The 23,349-nt window shown below is 42.3% G+C and overlaps 1 protein-coding gene across 6 annotated transcripts in view, besides 3 other annotated features; it reads left to right on the top strand.

Annotated features, from left to right (window-relative positions):
- Positions 1,930-2,139: a silencer, noted in NCBI's record as "silent region_14282". NCBI's record gives its function as "represses an Ori minimal core promoter by ATAC-STARR-seq in GM12878 lymphoblastoid cells {active_cell/tissue: GM12878}" and the evidence as "EXISTENCE:reporter gene assay evidence [ECO:0000049][PMID:35858748]".
- Positions 2,163-23,349, top strand: part of LARS2 (leucyl-tRNA synthetase 2, mitochondrial) — a 160,832-nt gene continuing 139,645 nt past the window's right edge. For 3 of the 6 annotated variants that reach the window (NM_015340.4, XM_017006042.2, XM_011533554.3), the window contains exons 1-4: positions 2,163-2,267; positions 5,170-5,235; positions 8,020-8,274; positions 13,832-13,960. In NM_015340.4, coding sequence (NP_056155.1) covers positions 8,041-8,274; positions 13,832-13,960 — 363 coding nt within the window. In that variant the 5' untranslated portion in view covers positions 2,163-2,267; positions 5,170-5,235; positions 8,020-8,040. The remainder of the gene's footprint in view (positions 2,268-5,169; positions 5,236-8,019; positions 8,275-13,831; positions 13,961-23,349) is intronic. The other 3 variants (NM_001368263.1, XM_047447830.1, XM_047447829.1) reach the window with 1 other exon arrangement.
- Positions 2,990-3,565: an enhancer, noted in NCBI's record as "H3K27ac-H3K4me1 hESC enhancer chr3:45430895-45431470 (GRCh37/hg19 assembly coordinates)". NCBI's record gives its function as "activates a minimal SCP1, AML or CMV promoter by ChIP-STARR-seq in primed H9 embryonic stem cells {active_cell/tissue: H9 hESC(primed)}" and the evidence as "EXISTENCE:reporter gene assay evidence [ECO:0000049][PMID:30033119]".
- Positions 6,384-7,583: an enhancer, noted in NCBI's record as "MED14-independent group 3 enhancer chr3:45434289-45435488 (GRCh37/hg19 assembly coordinates)". NCBI's record gives its function as "activates an origin of replication core promoter dependent on BRD2, BRD4, P300/CBP and CDK7 cofactors, and independent of MED14, by STARR-seq in HCT116 cells {active_cell/tissue: HCT116}" and the evidence as "EXISTENCE:reporter gene assay evidence [ECO:0000049][PMID:35650434]".

Consider the following 23,349-nt stretch of genomic DNA (forward strand, 5'->3'; position numbering starts at 1 on the left):
TGACTAATTTGCCTTATGACCTGAGCAAAACAGTCAGCTCTTTTGGGCCTCAGTTTATTTATCTGTAAAACGAGGAGATTGGACTAGAAAGGAGCTCTCACATTCTAGGACAGTGAGTCTTCAAATTGAATGTGTCTAGGATCAGTTAGGAGTCTTGTTAAAATTCAGAGTCTGATTCAGCAGGTCTAGGGCAGAGACTGAGTTTCTCATTTCCAGCAAATTCCCAGGTGAGGCTGATGCTGGAGACCACACCTTGAATAACAAGGTATTTGGATGTTGAACTATTAGGAAACCTTGTTAAAGACATGGAAATGGGCAAAAGAGAATACTGTATGTCGCTTGGGTGGAGTATTGGGGGATTATCTGATGCTATAGGAGTGCATACATTTGCCTGCCTCTCTGTTAACTAGCTATTGTTCATCTTCGTAAGAATAGAAGCTAAAATATGGAATATGAGGCCGGGTGTGGTGGCTCATGCCTGTAATCCCAGCACTTTGGGAGGCCAAGGCAGGCGGATTACTTGAGGTCAGGAGTTCAAGAGCAGCCTGGTCAACATGGGGAACTCCTTCTCTACTAAAAATACAAAAATTAGCCGGGCATGGTGGTGTGCACCTGTAGTCCCAGCTATTTAGGAGGCTGAGGCAGGAGAATTGCTTGAACCCAGGAGGTGGAGGTTGCAGTGAGCCAAGATCGTGCCACCGCACTCCAGCCTGGGTAACAGAGTGAGACCCTGTCCCAGATAAATAAATAAATAAATAAAAATGTAGAATATGGATACAGTAGTCCCCCTTATCTTCAGTTTCACTTTCTGAGGTTTCAGTTACCTGCAGTCAACCAAGGTCCAAAAATATTAAATGAAAAATTTCAGCAATAAATAATTCATAAGTTTTAAGTTGCATGCCATTCTGAGTAGAGTGATGAAATCTTGCTACCTCCTGCCTGGGATGTGAACCATTGTGAATCATCCCTTTGTCCAGCATATCCACGCTATATAGCTACCCAACTTAGTAGCCATCGTGGCTATCAGATCGACAGATCACAATAAGGGTGAGGACAGTACAATAAGCTGTTTCAAGAGAGACCACAGTCATATAACTTTTATTACAGCATATTGTTATAATTGTTCTATTTTATTATTGGGTATTGTTGTTAATATCTTACTGTGTCTAATTTACAAATTAAACCTTATCATAGGTATGTATGCATAGGCAAGAAAAACAGTATACATAGGGTTCAGTACCGCCGCAGTTTCAGGCATCCACTGAAGGTCTTGGAACATGTCTCGTGAGAATAGGAGGGACTACTGTAATCATGGGACGAATTTTGTTTGGTAGAGATACGATTTCAAGCCTGTAGGAAAGAAATGGCTCCCAAACATTACTTTTTCCTGTCCTATAGGATATTAACCAATTTTGCACAATTGGCAAATTCATTTCAGTATTCTTGACTGCCCACATATATGAGTTCTTCAAGTTCTCCTTTAAATCGGTTTTACCTTTTTGAAAATTATGCTTTAACACCACTGGTTCTTTGCAATTCTTTGATTTGTTGATTTATTACAAGCATGAAACACTTGCCGGGTGTGTGGCAGTGGGGGCATGGGATATACAAACTCCTCGAGGAAAGGGAAGGCATCATGCTTTCCTGACTCCCAGCACACTTGCCAGGTGAGAAAAGTACCTTACCCCAAACCTATTCTTGGCCAGGTAATTCCACCCCCCGCCCCAGGGCTAGAGGATTACGCAATATGGTGGAAGAAGGTGCCTCACTCATCATGCAGTCAATTAGGAATCAAGAGGTCGAGACCTGCCCAAGCCCAGGAGGCAGTTGTTGCTACGCTGGGATTCGAACCCTGGGGTCTGGGCTATATCCCAGGGCTCTTTTCACCAGCTGCCGCCTAGTTTATTCTGAGGCCACTAAATCAACGACTTTCATCCGTCTGCTATAACTGTAATAATTTGAGTCCCAGACGTCTAGAGCTTTGCCGACACCAGAGCAGTTAAAGGGCGTGCCAGAGGCCGAGAGGCGGAGCCCCGGGCCGCCGCGCAGACGCCCCGCCCCGCCCGGCGGGCTGCTGGGAGTCGAGGACTGGGTTGCTCTCCTCCCTTCCCCGGTCCCGCCCCCGTCTGTCTGTGTCGACTGCGGACGCTATCGATAAAGTTGCTGTTTTGACAACATGGCGGCGCCCATGGTCCGTGGCCCGGCAGTGCTCGCCTAAAGGTGGAGAACGAGGAGTAGAGGAGCCGCAGGCCAGAGCCTGTGAGCAGGTAAACCCCCGGACCGGGCGCAGCGAGATGAGAGACGAGGCCCAGTCTCCTCTTCCTCCGGCTCGGGAGATTCTGACTTGCTGAGGGCAGGAAGGGAAGGTGCGGGCTGGGTTAGGTGGTCCTGGAACCTTGCAGTTTCGAAACTGAAAATATCTGAGATCTAGGTCTTCAGGACCTTTGAGCCACCGACCCCATTGATAGCTCTGGACTCTTTCCCAGAAAAATGCACATATACACGTAGTTTTGTACTCAAGCTCCCCTCTCCACTACTCCCCTACCCCAGATCTTTGCTCCCCGGACTAGGGGTTTGGACCCAGTTGAAGGTCATCCCTTGCCTCTCTGGGGCCCACAGGTCGTTTTCACGTTAGGGCTCGGAGGTCCTCAGAAAGATGAGGTTCCAGACGAGAAATCCGCCTGAGGTCACAGGTAAATTAGTAGCTGCAAAATCCAAGATTTTTTTTGTTTTCACAAAACTTGGTTTCTTTAAGATGAATTTTTCCAGGTGCATTCTTGCACTTTCTTTTGAGTGTTGTACACAGATGTCCTCGTGTGCTTCTCCCCTGTGTCCTGTTTTTTTTTTTCTGCCTCCTACTCAGGAGAACAGAAAAGGAAGGTGGGTTTTGTCTCACGGGTCAAAACTTAGATCATCCCACACACGCAGGGAAATGAATGACTCCCTTCTCAAGGCATCACTGTGGGCTCTGACGGCTCCAGCATTCAGCAGCCCGTCAGCTCTGCGTCCCAGCGCCTCTTCCGTGAAAGGGAAGCCCCTGTGACTGCATGATGCACAAGAAGGAAGGCGGTCTTGGGACCACGGCCTAGAGGGCGGCCAGGGCACTCCCTCCTGCCTGTGCAGGGCCCTTCCTATTCTCAAAAACCTTCACCTTAAGCTCCAACTGAGATTGAGGTCAGGGTTGATTCTAAAGAGGGGTGGAGTAGTGGGAATTGATTCTTTGGAAGGTTGTGGAAGAAGAGAAGAGTCTTCTTATCTTAGAAGAAGATTCTGAGCATCTAAGGACGGAACTGGAGGAGCCCGAGCTAAGGAAGTAAAGGGCCAAGTTGATCATAAATATAAGACATGAGCCACACCTTTCACATCGTCTTATTCTCACAGCCGTCTAATAAAATGGCTGCTCCTCGCTGTCAATAAGAGGCAGTCCATCAGGGCTTTGGTGGAGGGGTACTTGGAGTGGCCAAGAACAAGGCCTGGGAAGTAAGGGAAAGGAATAGGGCTGAACCCTAGGAAGTTGTGTAATGAATCATAGCCATGAATACTGACTATATGTTGATTCTTATGAGTCCCCTTATGGAATTAGAACCTGAGTGGGGTCTTAGGGACTCCTAACTTCAAAGGATATGAACTATTCTTAAAAAGGTCCTAACACAGGTTATCAGATTGCCCCCCACCCCCCAAAAAAAGGTGGAATCAGTTTACATTCCCACCAGCAGTTGTTTAAAAAATGCATATTTCTTTTCATTTGCCAATCTGGAAACTAAACTTTCATTGTTTTAATTTGCATTTATTTGATTAGTTGTAAAGTTGATCTTTTTCATATTAACTATATGTCCTCTTTATTAACCATTTATATGTCATCTTTGCTGTTTTCCTTTGCCCATTTTTATTTTTATTTTTATTTATTTATTTTTTTTGAGACGGAGTCTTGCCCCGTCGCCCAGGCTGGAGTGCAGTGGTGCAGCCTCTGCTCACTGCAAGCTCCGCCTCCTGGGTTCACGCCATTCTCCTGCCTCAGCCTTCCGAGTAGCTGGGACTACAGGCGCCCGCCACCACGCCTGGCTAATTTTTTGTATATTTAGTAGAGACAGGGTTTCACCGTGTTAGCCAGGATGGTCTCAATCTCCTGACCTCGTGATCTGCCCGCCTCAGCCTCCGAAAGTGCTGGGATTACAGGCGTGAGCCACCAGACCGGGCCTTCTTTGCCCATTTTTATTTTTATTATTTATTTATTTATTTATTTATTTATTTATTTTTGAGACGGAGTCTCGCTCTGTCACCCAGGCTGGAGTGCAGTGGCGTGATCTCAGCTCACTGCAAGCTCCGCCTCCCGGGTTCACGCCTTTCTCCTGCCTCAGCCTCTCTAGTAGCTGGGACTACAGGCGCCCGCCACCACGCCCAGCTAATTTTTTGTACTTTTAGTAGAGACGTGGTTTCACCGTGGTCTCGATCTCCTGACCTTGTGATCCACCCGCCTCGGCCTCCCAAAATGCTGGGATTACAGGCGTGAGCCACCGCACCTGGCCCTTTGCCCATTTTTAAAATTCGATTTTTAGTGTTTCTTTTCACACACATGAGCTCAAGAGTAGAAACCTTTTGTTTTTGCAGTTTTGCTGAACATTTTCTCGTAGCTAATTGCTTGCTTTCCAATTCTGTTCTTAATGGTTTTGATATACAGATTTTTTAGCATCAGATTTATTAACATTTTCCTTTGTGAATTTTTTCATTGTTTTTATACTCAGGACAGAACATCCTGCACCCTCTTAAGATTTATTAAATATTCATCTGTGGTCCAGATGCGGTGGTTCACGCCTGTAATCCCAGCACTTTGGGAGGCCAAGGCAGAGTGATCACGAGGTCAGGAGTTAGAGACCAGCCTGGCCAACACAGTGAAACGCCGTCTCTACTAAAAATACAAAAAATTAGCCGGGTGTGGTGGCGGGCGCCTGTAATCCCAGCTACTCGAGAGGCTGAGGAAGGAGAATCTCTTGAACCCGGGAGGCGGAGGTTGCAGTGAGCCGAGATTGCGCCATTGCACGATCTCATTGCGACAGTGCGACACTCTGACTCAAAAAAAAAAAAAACAAAATCCATCTGTGTTTTTATTTTTTTATGACACTTTAAAAATATTCTAATTTATTTATTTTATTTTATTTTTCTGCTTTTCAGATCCAGACCTACAGATAAAAAACATTATTTAATCTATCTGGGATTTACTCCGGCTTATGATTTGAGGTGGGGCTCTAATTTTAAGTTTTTCTCTTATTTGTTGAATAATCTATTACTATCTAATCTGCTCCTGCTTTTTTAAAAAAATGAACTTTAAATGCTTTTAAATACCCAGATCTGTTTCAGGATTCTCTAGTTCACTGGTTTATTTAAGCAAAGCAGAGGTCATTAGTAAGCCAGGTATTATGTGAACATTTTTAGAAAGCTTATTCTTGTTGTGTAGACAGACAGTGTAGGCAGAGCAGTTCAAGTCACTGTATTTTATAATTTTGTTGTGCCCTTTTGTTTCTATTTGAGAGGATAGCCCAGAACACTCCTTAGGTGTTCTTTGGGGATGCTGTCTAGGAGAGAAGTGGCAAGCATCCATCTATGTGTCCTCTGCTAAACAGGCGTTCTTTGGCTTGCAAAGGTATGAAAGTATTGACTTGGCAAGAGAACCATAAAATCTGTGACTTCTATATAATTAGGGAGTTCTAATTATAGCAACCTAAGCCCTAAAAATATATGCAATTGCCTTAAGTGTACAAAGCGTATGTATATTAGGTCAGTCATATGGAATTGCTAACATTTAACCAATTTCATATAGTTCAAATGCCTGTAATCAGATCTGTGTACTTTAAAATAGCCAAGCCCAACTAATAGAGAGATTTCTTTTTTATCTTTTTTTTTTTTTTTTTGAGATGGAGTCTTGTTTTGTCGCCCAGGCTCTGGAGTGCAGTGGCGCTCACTGCAACCTCTGCCTCCCAGGTTCAAGTTATTCCTCTGCCTCAGCCACCCTAGTAGCTAGGATTACAGATGCACGTCACCATGCCCAGCTAATTTTTGTATTTTTAGTAGAGAAGGGGTTTTGCCATGTTGGCCAGATTGGTCTCGAACTCCTGACCTCAGGTGATCCGCCTGCCTCAGCCTCCCAGAATGCTGGTGTTACAGACGTGAACCATTGCCCGTGGCCTAAGAGAGATTTTTTTTTTTAAGTCTGCACTTTATTCTATCCCTGAAGAAGCAAGAGGTGTTTAATGTAGTGAGAACTGATAATGTCAATGACTTTGGCAGACCAACTTGTAAGATGCCCACATTATGTTGCTGTCTTATGTGAGTTTGAAACTCACTGTTATAAGCCTATATTGACCTTCCTGGCAACATTTGTGTTCTAGTACCTTTGTGAAACAGGCCAAATCCTGATAGAAGTGGAATTTTGAGAGAATCAAAGAACATCAGCTTAGAGTGCCGGGTTTCTTTATTTCTCTCTGGTTTTGAAAAGATCTGTTGTCATCTGTTTTTTCACTGTAGCACTTCTTGAATGCTGTTATGCCAGAAGGAGAAAGTTTAGGCTATTTAGTCTAGTATTTATATCTTAAATATTTGATAAAAATCTCACCTCAACCCTTTGAATAGCAATAAAACATGAAACTTCTTCAGTGAGGTCATTTCCAGTATTTACCTGTGGAAGAAGCCAACGAAACATTAAAATTGGATTTTGAATCACAACTGGATATCCTGGTAGGCCCCAACCTATGAGTTGTATTTCAAAAAATAGCACTCACCGTGACCACATGTTATATATTTTTGTTTCTCATCTGCCTCCCTTATTGTTTGTTTCTTATCTGCTTCCCTGCTAGTATGTAATAAGTGCTACGAAAGAAGGGACTCTGGGCCAGGTGTGGTGGCTCACGCCTATAATCCTAGCACTTTGGGAGGCCAAGGTGGGTGGATCATGAGGTCAGCAGTTCGACACCAACCTGGCCAACATGGTGAAACCCCATCTCCACTAAAAATACGAAAATTAGCCGGGCATGTTGGTGCATGCCTATAATCCCAGCTACTCAGGAGGCTGAGGCAGGAGAATTGCTTGAACCCAGGAGGTGGAGGTTGCAGTGAGCCAAGATCATGCCATTGCACTTCAGCCTGGGCAATAGAGCGAGACTCTGTCTCAAAAAAGAAAAAAAAACAGAGAAAGAAAGAAGGGACTCTGTTTGTGTTTACTGCTATATTCCCAGTACTTAGAACAACGTGTGGGCCTAGTGGTAGTCATTAAATATTTGGTGGTGGCTCACGCCTGTAATCCCAGCACTTTGGTAGGCTAAGGCAGGTAGATCGCTTGAGCCCAGGAGTCAGAGGTTACACTGAGGTATGATTATGCCACTGCACTCCAGCCTGAGTGAAAGAGCAGGACCCTGTCTCTAAAAAGTAAGTAAATAAATAAATAAATATTTGGTAAATGAAGGAGAAACTAAATGAATTAACAGTCTTCTAAATAATGGTTATTTTCTGGTTCAGCCTACAGGGTATATTTAACTCATAATATGTATAAAAATTACTAATAGTAGTTCAGAATTTCTGGCCCTCCTGGGAGGCCTGTATTTAGACCCCTTCTGATATTTGAGCCTAACGCCAACTCAGCATGTGCTTGAGCTCTTCTGAGGCTTGAAGACATAAGAAGTGAAGCCTGCTGGAGAGTCCCTGGGCTGGCCCATGGGGAGGGGAGGGAGGGCACTCCATGCCTTCCATGCAACTTGTGAGGTTGCGCAGGAGCTGGCCAGCTGATGGTCTCCATTTTTTCCTACAGGATTTTTGCATCTTTGATGTTAGGGGTTACTGACCCTTTATATTTTCTATTAAAAAGTTTGTGTTTAGCTCAATTGAATTGCTAAAGTATTCTTTTCAGGGAAAGAAATTATTAAAAGTAAGAGGAAAGCACAGGGCCAGAACACTGGACTGTGCCAAATGGAAAGATAAGCTCTGGGGAGGGTTTGAGGCAGCTCATAGTGTGCTTTCTGCCCTCTTTTTCAGGGCCTTCTCACCTTCTGAAGAATGGCTTCTGTTTGGCAGAGATTGGGTTTTTATGCCTCTCTTCTGAAAAGACAGCTAAATGGTGGGCCAGATGTCATCAAGTGGGAAAGGAGAGTAATTCCCGGATGTACCAGAAGCATCTACAGTGCCACGGGAAAGTGGACAAAAGAGTATACATTGCAGACAAGAAAGGATGTTGAGAAATGGTGGCATCAACGAATAAAAGAACAGGCCTCCAAAATTTCAGAAGCTGATGTGAGTATTCTGAGAGATTCTAAGAGGGTAGAGAAGAGGGGTTGAAGGTTTGGACCCTGGGGTTAGACTACCTGGTTCAAATAAGATATTAAATATGTGACCTTGAACCAAATTGTTGAATTTCTCTGTGCTTCAATTCTCTTATCTGAGATGGAGAGTGATCATAATAGTGCCCACCTGCACTATTGGGAGGGGTAAATGGATTGGGAGGCATAAATGAGGTGATACAAAGGTAGTGTTTACAAGAGTTTCCAATGTGGTGGATGCACACATAGTAATATTGCGCACGAGGTGTATGACAGACAGCAGCAAACCAGGTGTTCTAGAGCAACATTTACTGGGGAAGCTCATCAAAATAGGAGCTCTACCAGATGATGGGTCCTTTGTGGTCCATTGCATGGTGGGGCAGCACACAGGGATCTGGCAGGGTCATATCTGAGACTCCAGGAGAGGCACCTGGGCTCCTCGCTGGCTACATGTTCTGAGAAGTAACTGCCCCTTCCCTGGCAATCGTAGCCTCCAACTCTGTTCTGCTGCCTTAGCATCATGGTTTGGGGCACACCAGCCCTTTCACTGTTGTGAACTGGGGTAGGGTCTAACCTTGAGGTAGCAGCTACATGAGTTAGTGGACCCTTGGCTTCTGCACCAGGTACACCAGCTCGGCACTCTACCTGAATTAATGGTGGAAGCATAATACTTGGCTGCAGCCAGTTTCCACAGAGTGCTCTCTGTTCCTTTTCTGGGAGGCCAGCTTGCTGGGAATCAGTCTGGAACGTGTTAACCCTTACCTCTTGATACTGGTCAAAATGACAGCTGGGAGATGTGATTGTTACATGAAATGTTTGAATCTGATTGGAGTTTTAAATTCTGATCATCTCTTTGTAGTAGTTATAGTCAAATAATACAAACCCTCTATGTTTAATAAAGAGATTAGGCCCAAGGCAAGCAGCTGAATAAGTACAGCTGCACAAGACCACACCTCTCTAGACTTGCCTTTTCCCCATCTCCTGATTCGGTCAACACATTCATTCTTTCTGTGAGATTGGTGGTTATGAAAAATGAGTAAGGGGAGGAGAGCTATTTGTGTTAAACTGAAAGATGATTTTGGGCAATGGTTAGAAAGAAAAATTGCTATTGAAAAAGATGTAGTGTGTAACAAGTAAAATGAAATGAAAAAAAGGGAAGGTTTGAATGTAATACATAATTTTACAATGAAAGCTTGACTTCTACCTTGTTAGGAAGTGAAAAGCCCTTGTGTCAACATCATCAGACTAATGTAACTTAATAGATTTTGAAAACAAACTCTTAAGGAGCAGTTTAATTCTGAGTGAGGACAGTAAAATTAGCTTTTTTTTCCCTTTTGGTTTAGATAATCATTTATTGACTTCCAAATGTTTTGATGTTGTAGCTTACTGATTTTGTGACATCTCATTCTTCTTAAGCATACAGTTTTTTAAAATATCAAATGGATCAAAATAAATTGTTTTAGCAATTGGGGAGATAGCATAAGGGGCATTGTGTGTGATCCCCTGGCAGCCCCCTATCAGGGTTTGAATCAAGGAATGGCAAAGCAGAGTGAGCACTCAGTGAGTGAGCCAGAGCCTGGGCTGCAATGCTGGCTCTGCCCCAGGAAACCTGTGTGATCCAGGCCACATCATTTAATGTTTTGGATTCTGGGCTCCTTGCATTGTTTATCTCACAGAATTGTTTTGAAAATCAAATGAGAAAATGTGTGACAAAATGCATTTTACAAACTGAAGTGGTACATAAATAAAAGATACACAAAGATCAGAACGTGGTGTGTCTATCAGGACCTGAGACTATGACGGAATGCTCATGGATTTTGAAGCATTTATAATCGATCTCACTCTGGTATCAGATTCACTTGAAATCCACTCACATAAGTTTTTTGAAATGGAATGTCTTGAAATCACCATATTTATCATTTAAAAAATAATTTGCATTTAATGAGCATTTAACCATGTGCCAGGCACTGTCTTTCAATTGATTATCTCATTTAATCCTGAAACAACCCAGCGGGTAGGTATTATTATCCTCATTTTTGGAGTAAGAAAACTGAGGCTCAGAAAAAGGTTTAGGTAATTTGCCAAGACATGGCAGAGCCAGGATTCAAAATCAAATGTGTGTTTGATTCCTGAGCTCATGCTTTTCCACACAGAAACCTTCTTTTGTCTCACCTTTGATTTACAGTTAGCAAACTGATCCCAGAAGGCAAAAGAATTTGCCCAAGGCCTCACAGCTAGTGACAAAGCTAGGACCAGAACTGGGGCTCCGGATTCCTATTGAGGTGCTCCTTTTACTCTGTCACCCTCTAGGCTCAGCCACAGCTTCAGAGCGTGATCTATAAAGAGGCAGAAGTCATCTTTCTTCTAAAGTCAGAAGCTGACAAAAATAATAGGACCCACTTATAAAAGCCATCCTTTCCCTATCATTTAAATCTTAATCTCTTTTAAAGGCTTAAATTCTTATACTTTTATATAATTATGAAAATTTCCCTTTCAATCAGATTCTTGCTCAATTATAACAGAAACTCCCATCATTCCTTCTCTCTTTTCCACCCCCAGATGATAGAACTCATTTCATTGTCACAGAGGAAAATGACTTAATTCATGCAGAAAAGCAAAAGGCAGGGACAGGCAATAAGCTGAATACCTTTTCTGTAATAAACAGAAATCTTCATGAATATTAAAGACTTTAGAAAACAATACTTTTCTATGTATCTTTTATGAACTCAGATTTGGATTTTGGCTTAGCTAGTATATAATTATTCATTTGATTTTGCTATTAATTTAATCTTTATTGAACAAATGTAAAACAAGAGATGCTAGTAAAGAAATTACAGGTGGAAAATGTTTGGGGCAAGATTGGTAAATTAAATACATAACAAACATTAGTATAATAAAAATAATTTTATGTAAAAACTTTCAAATGAAAAACTAGAAACAGCTTAGATCAAGGATTTTACTGTTTTCCTAGCTCCCAAAGAACTCTTAACAGCTATTTTCCCATATTCCTAAAAATTTCTGAAGAATAAGCCATAAGCCTAATTCATTGTAAGGAGTAAGGCATGAATTGAGTGGATAGTTTTCTTCTGATTCTGCACTAAGTAAAAGAATGGGGTCTTGTACCTCCTTGGACGACTTGCTCATAAGCTGAGAAGGTTATCTGCCACTCACTTTCTTAAGGACAGTTATTAAGTTCCTGAGTTCCCACCAACCCCTGAATCTCAGGTCCTCTCTCAGATTTCTGTGGTTTTCCTAAGAGTTATAAATCTGCAGTTTCTAATTAAAGTGTCTGACCAATGTGTTGCTTTCCATCCTGTTTGTATAAATCCATTGTAGTTGTCATTTCAGCAGTTCCAGATGATTTTCTAATTTGTGTATGATCCAGATTTCTTAATTGTTCTCTTTTTCCCATCTCTTCCTTCAGGCAGCTTAACACTCCTTGGTAATTTCTAGAGGATGGGCAGCACAAAGAAAAGTTCTACTCTAGTTTTTGTGGGTTTCTTTTTGCCACGTGCTAATGGTTCCGTTAAAGGTTTGTTTAACTTCTTTGCTGAAAGAAGTTTACGAACTCCTTGGCAAGAATCTGATTTCTGGTTTCTTCTGCTCTACTGATTATATTTGGTTTATGTGTATTATCAGTCATGCGAACATTCAGCAAACAATATTTAAAAACCCCATCCCACATATGTACATAAAAGAAGGGTTATGAATATTCTGTTTCGTGTTTGTTTGCATTACTTCAGGGGAAGCAAATTCTTAAAGAACTGGAGTAAAGTTCTAGCAAGGGAATAAGGCCAGGAAGAAAAAACAGAAGGCAGAAATAAATAAAAGCAGAAGTTCTGACCCTTAGTGACGAAACAGAATCAGTTACCCAGTTACCTGTTGCTCTTCCTTTCTCTCCAGCCCCTCCACCCTTGACCCTGTCATGAGATGATTTAAACTTGGGTGTGGGGAACCCTCCTATTACTTGGGTAGGATTTGTGAAGTTTGCTGGGTAAAAAGTGCTCCATAGGGGCCAGTTATCAGGCTTTTGGAGCACAAAGGCCAACGAACATTTATCCAACATTTTATGAAACTCCTGCTGGCACTGGGGGCAGACGTGGAGAAAGAGGTGACTAAAGCACAGTTCTTGCCCTTGAACAGTAGGTCCCCCCATGAACAGTAGGTCCCCCCAGTAGGAGTTAATTCAAGGACTACCATCTTTGTTTGCCTTATCCATTCATGTGCACACTCATGACGACATTCATCATTTTACCAGGGGAAGAATTAAGATGCCAGAAGTCAGTGATCCAATAAGGACTCATTGGCCTGTGTTCCTTCTGTTCAGATACATGTACAGTTGTCTATGTTTCTCATGATGAAGCTGCTTCTTTGGAAGCTGGAGAGTTATATAACCCTGGTCTGAGGCTGCTTATTTATCATCCCTGGAGAACAACAACCTTCTCCCTTTTTAAAAGGATCTTCTCATTACCTTCCCATTTCAACATTTTTGTTGAAAGATAGGCTCTCAATACAATGGGGAAACTCAGGACCCAAATTGGTACTTTAGGATCCTGTTATTACTGCTAAACCTACGTCAGAATGCAGCTATAGAGAATTTAGGAAGAGACTCCATTTTTAGAGATGTTACATCTATGTGATTCAACTATTGCTTCTTTGAATTATATGGATATATGTATGTTAGAGCTTCCTTCGGAAAAACAAACAGTTCTTTAAGGACCTAGATAGAAGCTGTCTTAAAAGAGAAGTGTTTTTTTGTTTTGTTTTGTTTTGTTTTGTTTTTTTAATGGAGTAGCCATTCTTTTATCCCTTTACTTTCCTAATAATCTTGCTTTCGCTTTCTTCTACAGACTGGCGCTGAATTCTTTCTTGCGTGAGATCCAAGAACCCTCTCTTCGGGTCTGCATTGGGACCGCTTTTCTTTCTTTCTTTTTTTTTTCCATAGGTTTTTGGGGTACAGGTGGTATTTGGTTACATGAGTAAGTTATTTAGTGGTGATTTGTGAGATTTTGGTGCACCCCTCACCCGAGCAGTATAGGCTGTACTCTATTTGTAGTCTTTTATCCTTCACCCCCCTTTCCACCCTTCCCCCAAAGTCCCCAAAGTCCATTGTATCATTCTTATGCCTCATAGCTTAGCTCCCACATATCAGTGAGAACATAAGATGTTTGGTTTTCCATTCCTGAGTTACTTCATTTAGAATAATAGTCTCCAATCTCACCCAGGTCACTGCAAATACTGTTAATTCATTCCTTTCAAAAAATAAGTTTTTAAAAGAGAAAAAAAAAAGATATATGGGTACTTAACACTTAGAGGTTGTTTGGCATTATTTTGGACATTCTTTAGCTTAAACCAGGGCTTTGAATTTTGCTTTTTGACATTTTAATTGATTTACATTCTGGGAACACTCTTTTTAAAAGGAAACTTTTAAAATGTTAAATTATTACTTTGTGTAAAATGCCAAAATATTATGTATACATGCAGAGTTCCCAGAAAATGCTTAATAAATACTCATTGTCGTTCTTTCCTAGAAATCGAAGCCAAAATTTTACGTGCTTTCCATGTTCCCTTATCCTTCTGGTAAGCTGCACATGGGCCATGTGCGTGTCTACACCATCAGCGACACCATAGCACGGTTCCAGAAGATGAGAGGGATGCAGGTAAGAACAGGTGCCTGCTGGAGCAGCCCTTGTCTGCCACACGCAGGGTTGGCATGTAGTAATATGTGTTCAAGACAAATGAAGAAAACCAACTTTAGTTAAGATTAGGACAGCTTTGAAGATGGACATGAAAAGCTCAGTGTTTCCTTTTATGGATTAGATGATATTATAATAAAGCATCTAGGTTAATTGGGGGGCAGCCATGAGTTGGGTGTTGTGCTGGGGTGGAGATCAGATGGGAATGGGGTGAAAGGTAGATACAAATGTGGATAACACTGATAATCTTCCCAGGAGATACTCACCCATGAGTAGAGAATCATTGTATATAACGAACTGAGGTCAACAGTACAAATACACATCAGTGCTATGAGTGGCAGGTGAGACTGCAAGATATTTCTTTCTGTTCTATTTGATATTTTCCATATTCTTTGAGCATGTATTTCTTTTCTTTTTTTTTTGAGGCGGAGTCTTGCTCTGTCGCCCAGGCTGGAGTGCAGTGACGCAGTCTCGGCTCACTGCAACCTCCCCCTCCCGGGTTCACGCCATTCTCCTGCCTCAGCCTCCCGAGTAGCTGGGACTACAGGTGCCCACCACCACGCCTGGCTAATTTTTTGTATTTTTAGTAGAGACGGTTTCACTGTGTTAGCCAGGATGGTCTTGATTTCCTGGCCTCGTGATCCGCCCACCTTGGCCTCCCAAAGTGCTGTGATTACAGGTGTGAGCCACCATGCCCGGCAGAGCATGTATTTATTTTCTAATGGAAAAAAATAATTTTTTTAAGAAAAGATATTTGGGGAGTAACAACTCTGGGGAGTTGGGGAAAGTGCCACTAAAGAAGGAACATCTGGTCTGGGCACCTGGCTCATGCCTGTAATTCCAGTGCTTTGGGAGGCCCAGGCAGGAGGATTACTTGAGCCCAGGAGTTCGAGACCAGCCTGAGCAATGTAGCAAAACCCTGTCTCCACAAAAAATACAAAAAATTAGCTCAGTGTGGTGGCACACACCTGTAGTCCCAGCTACTCAGGAGGCTGAGGTGGGAGAATCACATGAACCTGGGAGGTCAAGGCTGCAGTGAGTTGTAATTGTGTCACTACACTCCAGCCTGGGCAACAGAGTGAGACACTATCTTAAAAAAAAAAGAATCTGATATGGGCCTTGAAGAATGAGGTGAAATTTATTGTGAGAGAGGAGGACAAACGCCCTTCCTTGGCTGATGTGGGCCATTCCTCTTTACCCCCCGCCTGCTTTTTAAAAAAATTTTTTTGAGACAGGGTCTCATTTTGTCACCCCGGCTGGAGTGCTGTGGTTGCAATCACAGTTCATTGCAGCCTCGACCTCCCAGGCTCAACTTCCGACTCTGTCTCCCAAGTAGCTGGGACTATAGGTGTGTGCCACCACGCTCAGCTAATTTTTTGTAATTTTTGTAGAGACAGGGTTTCACCATGTTGTTCAGGCATGTCTTGAACCCCTGGGCTCAAGCAATCCACCCACCTCAGCCTCCCAAGGTGCTAGGATTATAGATATGAGCTACCGCACCTAGCCCAGAGCCTAATCTTTACTAGCAATCTTTAGCAACACATCATCTTTAAGATGGGTGTTGGATAATCATAATATCTTCTTTATCCACCTACGAAATATGGCAGTATTCAAGAAGGGCTGAGAGCATGGCCCATTGAACCAAACTGCCAGGATTCAAATTCCAGCTCTTAATACTTACAAGCTGTGTGGCCTTTGAGTAGTTAATTAATTAACCTCTTCAACACCTTGTTTTCTCTCATCTATAAAATAGGGATAAAATAGTACCTGCCCCATTGGCCTGTTAAAAGGATTCAAAGAGGATGACTATGAAGCACTTAGATACCTAACACACAGTATGTAACCAATAAGTATTAGCAATTGCCAGCAGTGGACAGGAACCTGCACACACCAGCACCTGAGAGCCAACTATGTATATCTCTGCCCAATGTTGTGTTTATTAGTCACCTTGGCAGCTTGAAATCTGCCATTGAGGGAGTATTTACGTCATGGTAATCAGCAAACCTACAAATCATGGCCTTTTCCTCCAGAGAGCCAATTGTTAATTAAACATTTACTGGAACCCCAGTGGCCATTGCTACTATGAACCTGTCAGGGCCTATACAAATGATATCTGCTGCCTCTCAGTTCTTTCTATTTTATTTTAGCAAGGTAAGTACATCCATTGTCATAACTGGTTTGAAATTTTATGCTGAGCTGACATTGGCTGCAAGAAGTATTCCTAAAAGAGGGTCACGTTGTAATGTCTTTGTCACTTGAAGAGTTAAATAACTTTATACTACCAAATTCAGAGATTTGTGTTCCACTTTAAGATGGCTGAGGGTGTTTGTCTCTCTGGTTTTTGTCAGATGTTATTTTTCCCAGATAACTGTTTTTCATTATTTCTGCTATGTTTATTAGAAAGAGGTGGGACAGGCCAGGCATGGTGGCTCATGCCTGTAATCCCAGCACTTTGGGAGGCCGAAGTGGGCAGATCACCTGAGGTCGGGAGGTCAAGACCAGCCTGACCAACATGGAGAAACCCCATCTCTACTAAAAATACAAAATTAGCCAGGCATGGTGGCCCGTGCTTGTAATCTGAGCTACTCGGGAGGCTGAGGCAGGAGAATTGCTTGAACCCGGGAGGCAGAGGTTGCAGTGAGCCAAGATCATGCCATTGCACTCCAGCCTGGGCAACAAGAGCGAAACTCCGTCTCCAAAGACAAAAAAAAAAAAAAAAAAAGAAAGATGTGGGACAGAATGAATTGGCTCTTTGCCTAAAGATAAAGATAAAGACAATTCTTTATCTCACTGTGATAAAGAATCTAGTTGTGATTCTTTAATTAGATTTGTCTAAATTTTTTTTAACTTAGGCCAACTTATTTCGGACAATTAGTGAGTGCAGGCAAATTGCCTACAATTAAGCTTTTTTTTGTTTGTTTTTTGAGGCGGATCTTCGCTCTTGTTGCCCAGGCTGGAGTGCAATGGTGCGATCTCAGCTCACTGCAACCTCTGCCTCCTGGGTTCAAGCAATTCTCCTGCCTCAGCCTTCCAAGTAGCTGAGATTACAGGCACCCACCACCACACTCAGCTAATTTTTGTATTTAATTAGAGACGGGGTTTCACCATGTTGGTCAGGCTGGTCTCGAACTCCTGACCTCAGATGATCCGCCCGCCTTGGGACAGTTAAGCTTTTATAGCAACTGTACATTTATGATAGGGTGCAGGGAAGCCTGTTAGCAAAACAGGTGGTTGAGGGGCTTGTAGGTGGGATTCTAATTTCCTTGGATGGGATGAGATGTTACAGAGGAGGCTCAAGGCAGAGCTCCAGGCCCAAAGGAACTGGTACCCTTGCAGGCAGCTCAGGCCCAAAAGACAAGGAGTCCTCCTACCATATCTGAAGCCTAAGGTCAGGCTAGACCCAGAAATTGAACAACCTAGATTTGAACCTACCACTTTCTAGCCAAGCGACTCTACAGAGTCATTTAATGTCCCTGTATCCCACTTTCTTAATCTTTAACATAGGGATAACAATACTTTATTCCTCACAGGGTTATGAGGATTAGATGAGATAGTGCTTGTATCTGGCACATAATAATCCCATAATAAGTGACAGCTGTAATTATTATTTATACTGATCTTATTCCTCAGAGCTGCTTAGGAAGGTGATTCGTCACCATTTAATAAATGAATCTTGTAATTCATATTATCCATCCTGTGGCTTGATTTGCTTATGGTTGAAACCACTATTTGTTATTTGGTTGATGGTTTCTTAGTCTGTGTGATCAGCAGATACCTAAGGTTGTCTTTTTGTTTCACAGTTTCAGTTGCTGTGTTTAAGATAGCAAGCCCTCTTTTCAGGGTGTTCTCTAGGTTCTCCTGAAATTAATTTCTTATTAATTTTCATAGTTCATATTTAAGTCACAGCATCTCAGATACAACCACCAAATCTGGTGAAAACTTGTCTGGTCATTTTTAAGTGATGTGGGAAAAGAGAAACAAATCTTGGTTTCATTGTCAGTGATGTGAAAGAAAGTCTGTTGAGCTTCCTTGTCATTTTAAAATCTTTCCTGCCCAGTGTCAGGATTGGTCCCTGAGATTGAATAAACTTGGACTCAAGTTTAACGATCCTCACTCTAAGCAGGGAAGGAATATCTAATCTGGGCCTGCCAAACAGGGTCTGCCACATGTATTGATTAATTTAGTCAGTAAGTAATCATTGAGCACCAGCTCTATTCTTGAATGGAGATATATGAAATAGTTCTAAGGCACACTAAGAACAGCATTATCTCTGCCTCCCAGGTTCAAGCAGTTCTCCTGCCTCAGCCTCCCGAGTAGCTGGGATTACAAGTACACGCCACCACACCCGGCTAATTTTTGTAGAGATAGGGTTTCACCATGTTGGCCAGGCTGGTCTAGAACTCCTGATCTCAGGTGATCAGCCTGCCTCGGCCTCTCAAAGTGCTGGGATTACAGGTGTGAGCCACTGTGTCCGGCCAGTCCTTGCTATTTTTCAAAGCCCATTTAAATTCTTACTTCTACCATAAATCCATCCCTCAATTCTCCAGTTCACATTTGTTATGAAATAATTTAGCACTTATAGTCAGAACCACAAACTAGGGAGGTCTATATGTCATCCACATGTTGTTTTATCTGCCCAGTAATATAAGCTTCTCAGTGGCAGGGAAGGTCTTTCTAACTTCTTTTGTGTTAGCATGTCAAGTTTTTTTTTTTTCTTTTTCTTTATACAAGATGGGGTCTCACTATGTTGATCAGGCTGGTCTTGAACTCCTGGCCTCAAGCAATCCTCCCATCTTGGCCTCCCAAAGGGCTAGGATTACAGGCATGAGCCACCACACCCAACCATCATGTCAGGTTTTTAATGGTCAAATGTAACTAACATGTTTTTAGGTCTACAGCCTATAAGACCTAACAACTCCTTTGTTCCTAACAGCCTATAAGATAACAACTCCTTTGTTCCCAAGGAGTTTATAATCTGATAAGCCTCAACTGTTTGTGAGTTGATTGATTCAATGGATGTTTTTAAAAGCATACAACTCCTTTGTTTAAGTCTGGACTAAGTGTTCATTGTGCATATATAGCCCAGAATAATGTTTCTCAAACTTTAGAACTCACATATCTCAGTGACAAAATCCTTGGGCTCAAGTTTGGTAAATATTGAATTAAAAGTTAAACTCTGTCATTCTAGATGATTACTTGACATTTAGATGATTATAAATACAAAGGCAACCCCAGACACCCAATTCATGGGCTAGTTCTTGGTGATCAGGTTCATCAATCAGGAAAAATTAGACCATGCTGCTATAATAAACAATCCCCAAATCTCAGTGGCTTAAAACAACAAAATTTTGTTTCTTGCTTTTGCTACATGCCTAGCAGGAGGGCTCAGTTCAAGGTAGTCAGGACCTCGATGATGGCTGTTCTTACCTCAGTGAGTGCCTCCCCATCTCTGTGGCTGGGAGAAGGGGGTATAGTGAATCCCCACTGGCTCTTAAATCTTCCACTTGGACTCAAGTCACTTCCACTGACATGGCCACATCCAACCTCAAAGAGGGTAAAGAATATTCCCACCATGTGCCAGGATGGTGAGGAGGATCAAAATGTTTGTGAACAGCTCCAATGACCCCCACCTAAGGTGATCTAGTTGACCCAGAATATTCTTATCTTGGGTGATCTTTTTAAAAATTATTGATGTAAAAGTATACATTTAGAAACCATCAGGGAGACTAGCAGACCTCTCAATTGGAGCCTGTGGAATTTGAGAAACATTGCTCAGAACATGAAGTTGTTGCCGTCAAGTTTGGCATCCAACCATTTATGCTCTGTAAAAATTTCTCTGTGTGTCCATGATTCTTAAACTTTAGGGTGTGTAATGATCCCCTGAGGAGTTTGCTAAAAAGGCAGGTTGCGATATAGTCCTGCGTGAGGCTCAGGAATTGGTATTTAAATAAGCATTTCAGGTAGTTCTGATGTAAGTGCTCTCCCAGATTTGGCACTTACATGAATGGGATCGGATGCTCCACAGAGCCAAATGGACATGGTTCTCTAGGTTGGAAAATACATCCCATTGAAATGAGAAGAAAACTAAAGGTCACAAGCAGCTGAGCAGACACACACAGATTAGATGTGGACTGTGTATGTAGAGGGGCAGGTGGTTTGGGGGTGATGAATCAATTAGGAAACGGGGTTAGTCAAAGCGGTGATGGTGTCTGCCCTACCCGCATCATGGATTTGTTGTGAGGTTTGTGTATGTGAGATGATCACTGAGAAAACCCTCTAAAAACAATATGTAATTTTCAAGTGTAACCCAATTAATAGTAGCAATAAAAAGAGAGTCCTGAGGTTTGGATGTTTGAGCAGGGGCCATTTGAAGCCAGAGATAAATTATTCTCTTTCAGTAATCAGAAAAGGCTGTACTGCCAATCGGTTTCTTCTTAAACTCATAGAATGCCTGATGACATATTTAAAACTTAGCTCCATATGGTGATTTTGTTGTGTTTTCATATGTTGTATGCACAGATGGTTGGAAAATAAAATTCCCCACCTCCCACCTCGGCTGGTCTCCCCAGCACCTTCTGGTCCAGAAGCCGGGTGATAAAAGCATCAAGGTGCCAAGTCCCCCTCACAGAGTTGGGCTTGGAATAATTTGTCTCAGGCAAAAAGCCACCAGGCATTGCCCAAGTAGAAGAGTTTTCTGCTTGGGCCTTTTTGCTATTCACTGCGGAGGAGGAAGAAAATTGAGGCTATGTGTCTGGCAGCTGCATAATCATAATATAATTATCCACAAATATCAGGAAGCAAGGGAAGTTCTTAGCAAGTAAACAATAATGTACGTTCCATCAGTTTTCAGTTTGCCAGTCAGTCAACAAGTGTTTATGAAGTGCCCGGAGAGTGCATAGCATGGCATTTAGTTTTCAAATTTGCAAATCTCTGTAGCATCTGAAAGTAGATAGTGAATTTCCAGGGCATATTCTCTCAGATCTCCTTCGAAGGAGAGAACGAACTGCTGGTCCAGTGCCTTGACTGGAAACTGGCAGATTTATCTGCCTGTCACATTCCTCCACATTCCCAGAGGAGGTCTGCTGCTTTGGGCCTAGGTACTGTCATTTGGTTTTTATAATCTGAAGTATTCACTTGATTTTTATCCCCAATCTGTAATAATGGTGAGTTATTACACTTGCTAAACAAAATTAAATATTGTGTTTCTCATTTCTTGGAAATAAGAAGTGTTGAACATACTCCAAAGACACCATGACACTCTGAAAATAGCAGTTTTTGGAGAAGCAGTAACCATGGTTGCTCTCAATTAGAAGCTGAATTGGTTTCAAATATAAAATTTTGTTTTGATGAAAGGGAGAGAAAGCTGGTAATCCCTAGAGAACTGGTTGGCCCTTTCATAGTAACAGTTACGCTGCTTCCCTCTCTACTGGGAAGGCAGATGACCAGCTGCTTGGGCTTCCTTCCCTTCCATCGCCAAACTCTACTCAGTCTTACTTCTTGTGTCGGATGAACAACTATATCTTTGCCTCTTTAAAATAATTCCTTCTTTTAAAAAATATATTTTAAAATTGTACATGAATTCCCATATTCCACCTATAACAAAAAGAAATACAACATAGATAAGTCTGTAGTCCCCTTTGGGCACCCATTTCTACATAAGGCCCCCCCGTCCCCAGGCAATAACCTCTGGCATTTTCCAGGTTATATGCCTTTAGAGCCTTCTCTGTCTGTCATATGGAACTGTGTTTTCTCCTGCATCTCTTTCTTCTACTTCTTTTAGTTTGCTTGCCATCCATCCTGCCTGCCAACTCTGAGACACCAAGGCTCACCCTGGAGCAGGGCAGGGGTGGGCAGAAGGCCCCACCTGGGTGTGCCATGGCCATGTGGCTACCGGGCCTCACCCCCTGGCCAGGGCTCTGACCCCTGTGTTTTTGTCATCAGTAACTCCTGGTCTTCCATGGTAACAGCTGGCCCCCACTCCTCTCTGATCTCAAAGTAAGGCAGGTTATGCAGTCCTGCTAGCGTTCTTGTGCTGGTCCTTGACCAGCTTGCTGTTAGATCCATCCCTTGCTTTTTGTACGGCAGAAGGGCTGACTCCTGCAGGTCCGGTTCCCAAGCTGGCCCCCTCCTGGTTTTGAACAGTAGGAAATCCTGGTAACATTGGAGGACAGGAGAAAGGGAGAGGCCAGAAAATTTCTCTCTCTCTCTCTCTGCCCTGGTTTGGTCTTCACTAATCTAGTTCCATCTGGGCAGTCCAGCCTGTTTGAGCTTCTGCAGCTGAGATCAGCCTTTGGGCTTTGTTAACTCTGCTTTCTCACTTTGTCTCTGCAGTCTAGAGATTGTGGTAATGTCCTGCCCTTCCAAACTGCTAGGTAGATTCACCCATTTCCTTGGCTTCCCACTCAACTTTAAACATATAGAGTATTAGTTAAACGAACCAGGTGGAAATGATGGTTTTTCAGACTTTGGAAGTTTATTTTGTGGATTTCCAAGTTATAGCTACTGGTACTTTTTCTTGATTCCATCTCTGAGTAGTATTACATTTATTATTTCAAAATTATCATTAGTAGTCTTCTGCCACCCTCTGTGATGTCACATTCCTATCTTTCCAAATTGACATGATACATATTTCAAAGTGTATTTTCAGTAGATGTTTTTAAAAATAAAATACATGGAAAAAATGTTCTGAAGCTGCAGAATGCATTCATGTCCAAGAAGTTAACTTCTAGGAAGTTGAGAGGGTTCAGGTGGGCTCAAGCATATAAATAGAGATGCCAATAATTTATTTTTATTTTTATTTTTTTTTAGGGAAATTGCCTAGTTAGCACATGTGAGCTGTAAGTTCATTTCAGTCCAGTTACTTTTTCAACTGTGGATGGATTAAAATAAGTTATGGTGGTAGAAAGAAAGGAATTGGAATTCTAAAACCTAACAGGAGAGTTTGGAGTTCTTCCCAGTGAATGGACAATCTTGGCCATAGAGAAATCAAGGGCAAGAAAGTGTACCATGTATCTAGAGGTATTTGATCTGAACGGTGCATGAGACATGTACAAGGCTGGCAAGGGAAGCACCTAACCCAGTGTATTTCACGTAAATAGGCCATAACAACTTGACCAAAAAATAGAAGCTGCTCTCTGTGGGGGAAGGGACAAGCTTTGGTATTTTGTAATCCTGTTGTAGGTCTTCACTTTGTTTCCCCCTTGACAGTGGTGAATCATCTTATAGAACAAAAGTGAGCTTTGCGCTTGGTCACTGGGCTCTAGGAAACCCAGGGTATAGAAACAAAGAGACCCTTTCCAATTTTGTGGAAATTTGGCTCACAGAGACATTTATTCCAGTGCTCTGGCTCATGG

This window comes from Homo sapiens, chromosome 3 (genome assembly GCF_000001405.40).
Source record: "Homo sapiens chromosome 3, GRCh38.p14 Primary Assembly".
NCBI lineage: Eukaryota > Metazoa > Chordata > Mammalia > Primates > Hominidae > Homo > Homo sapiens.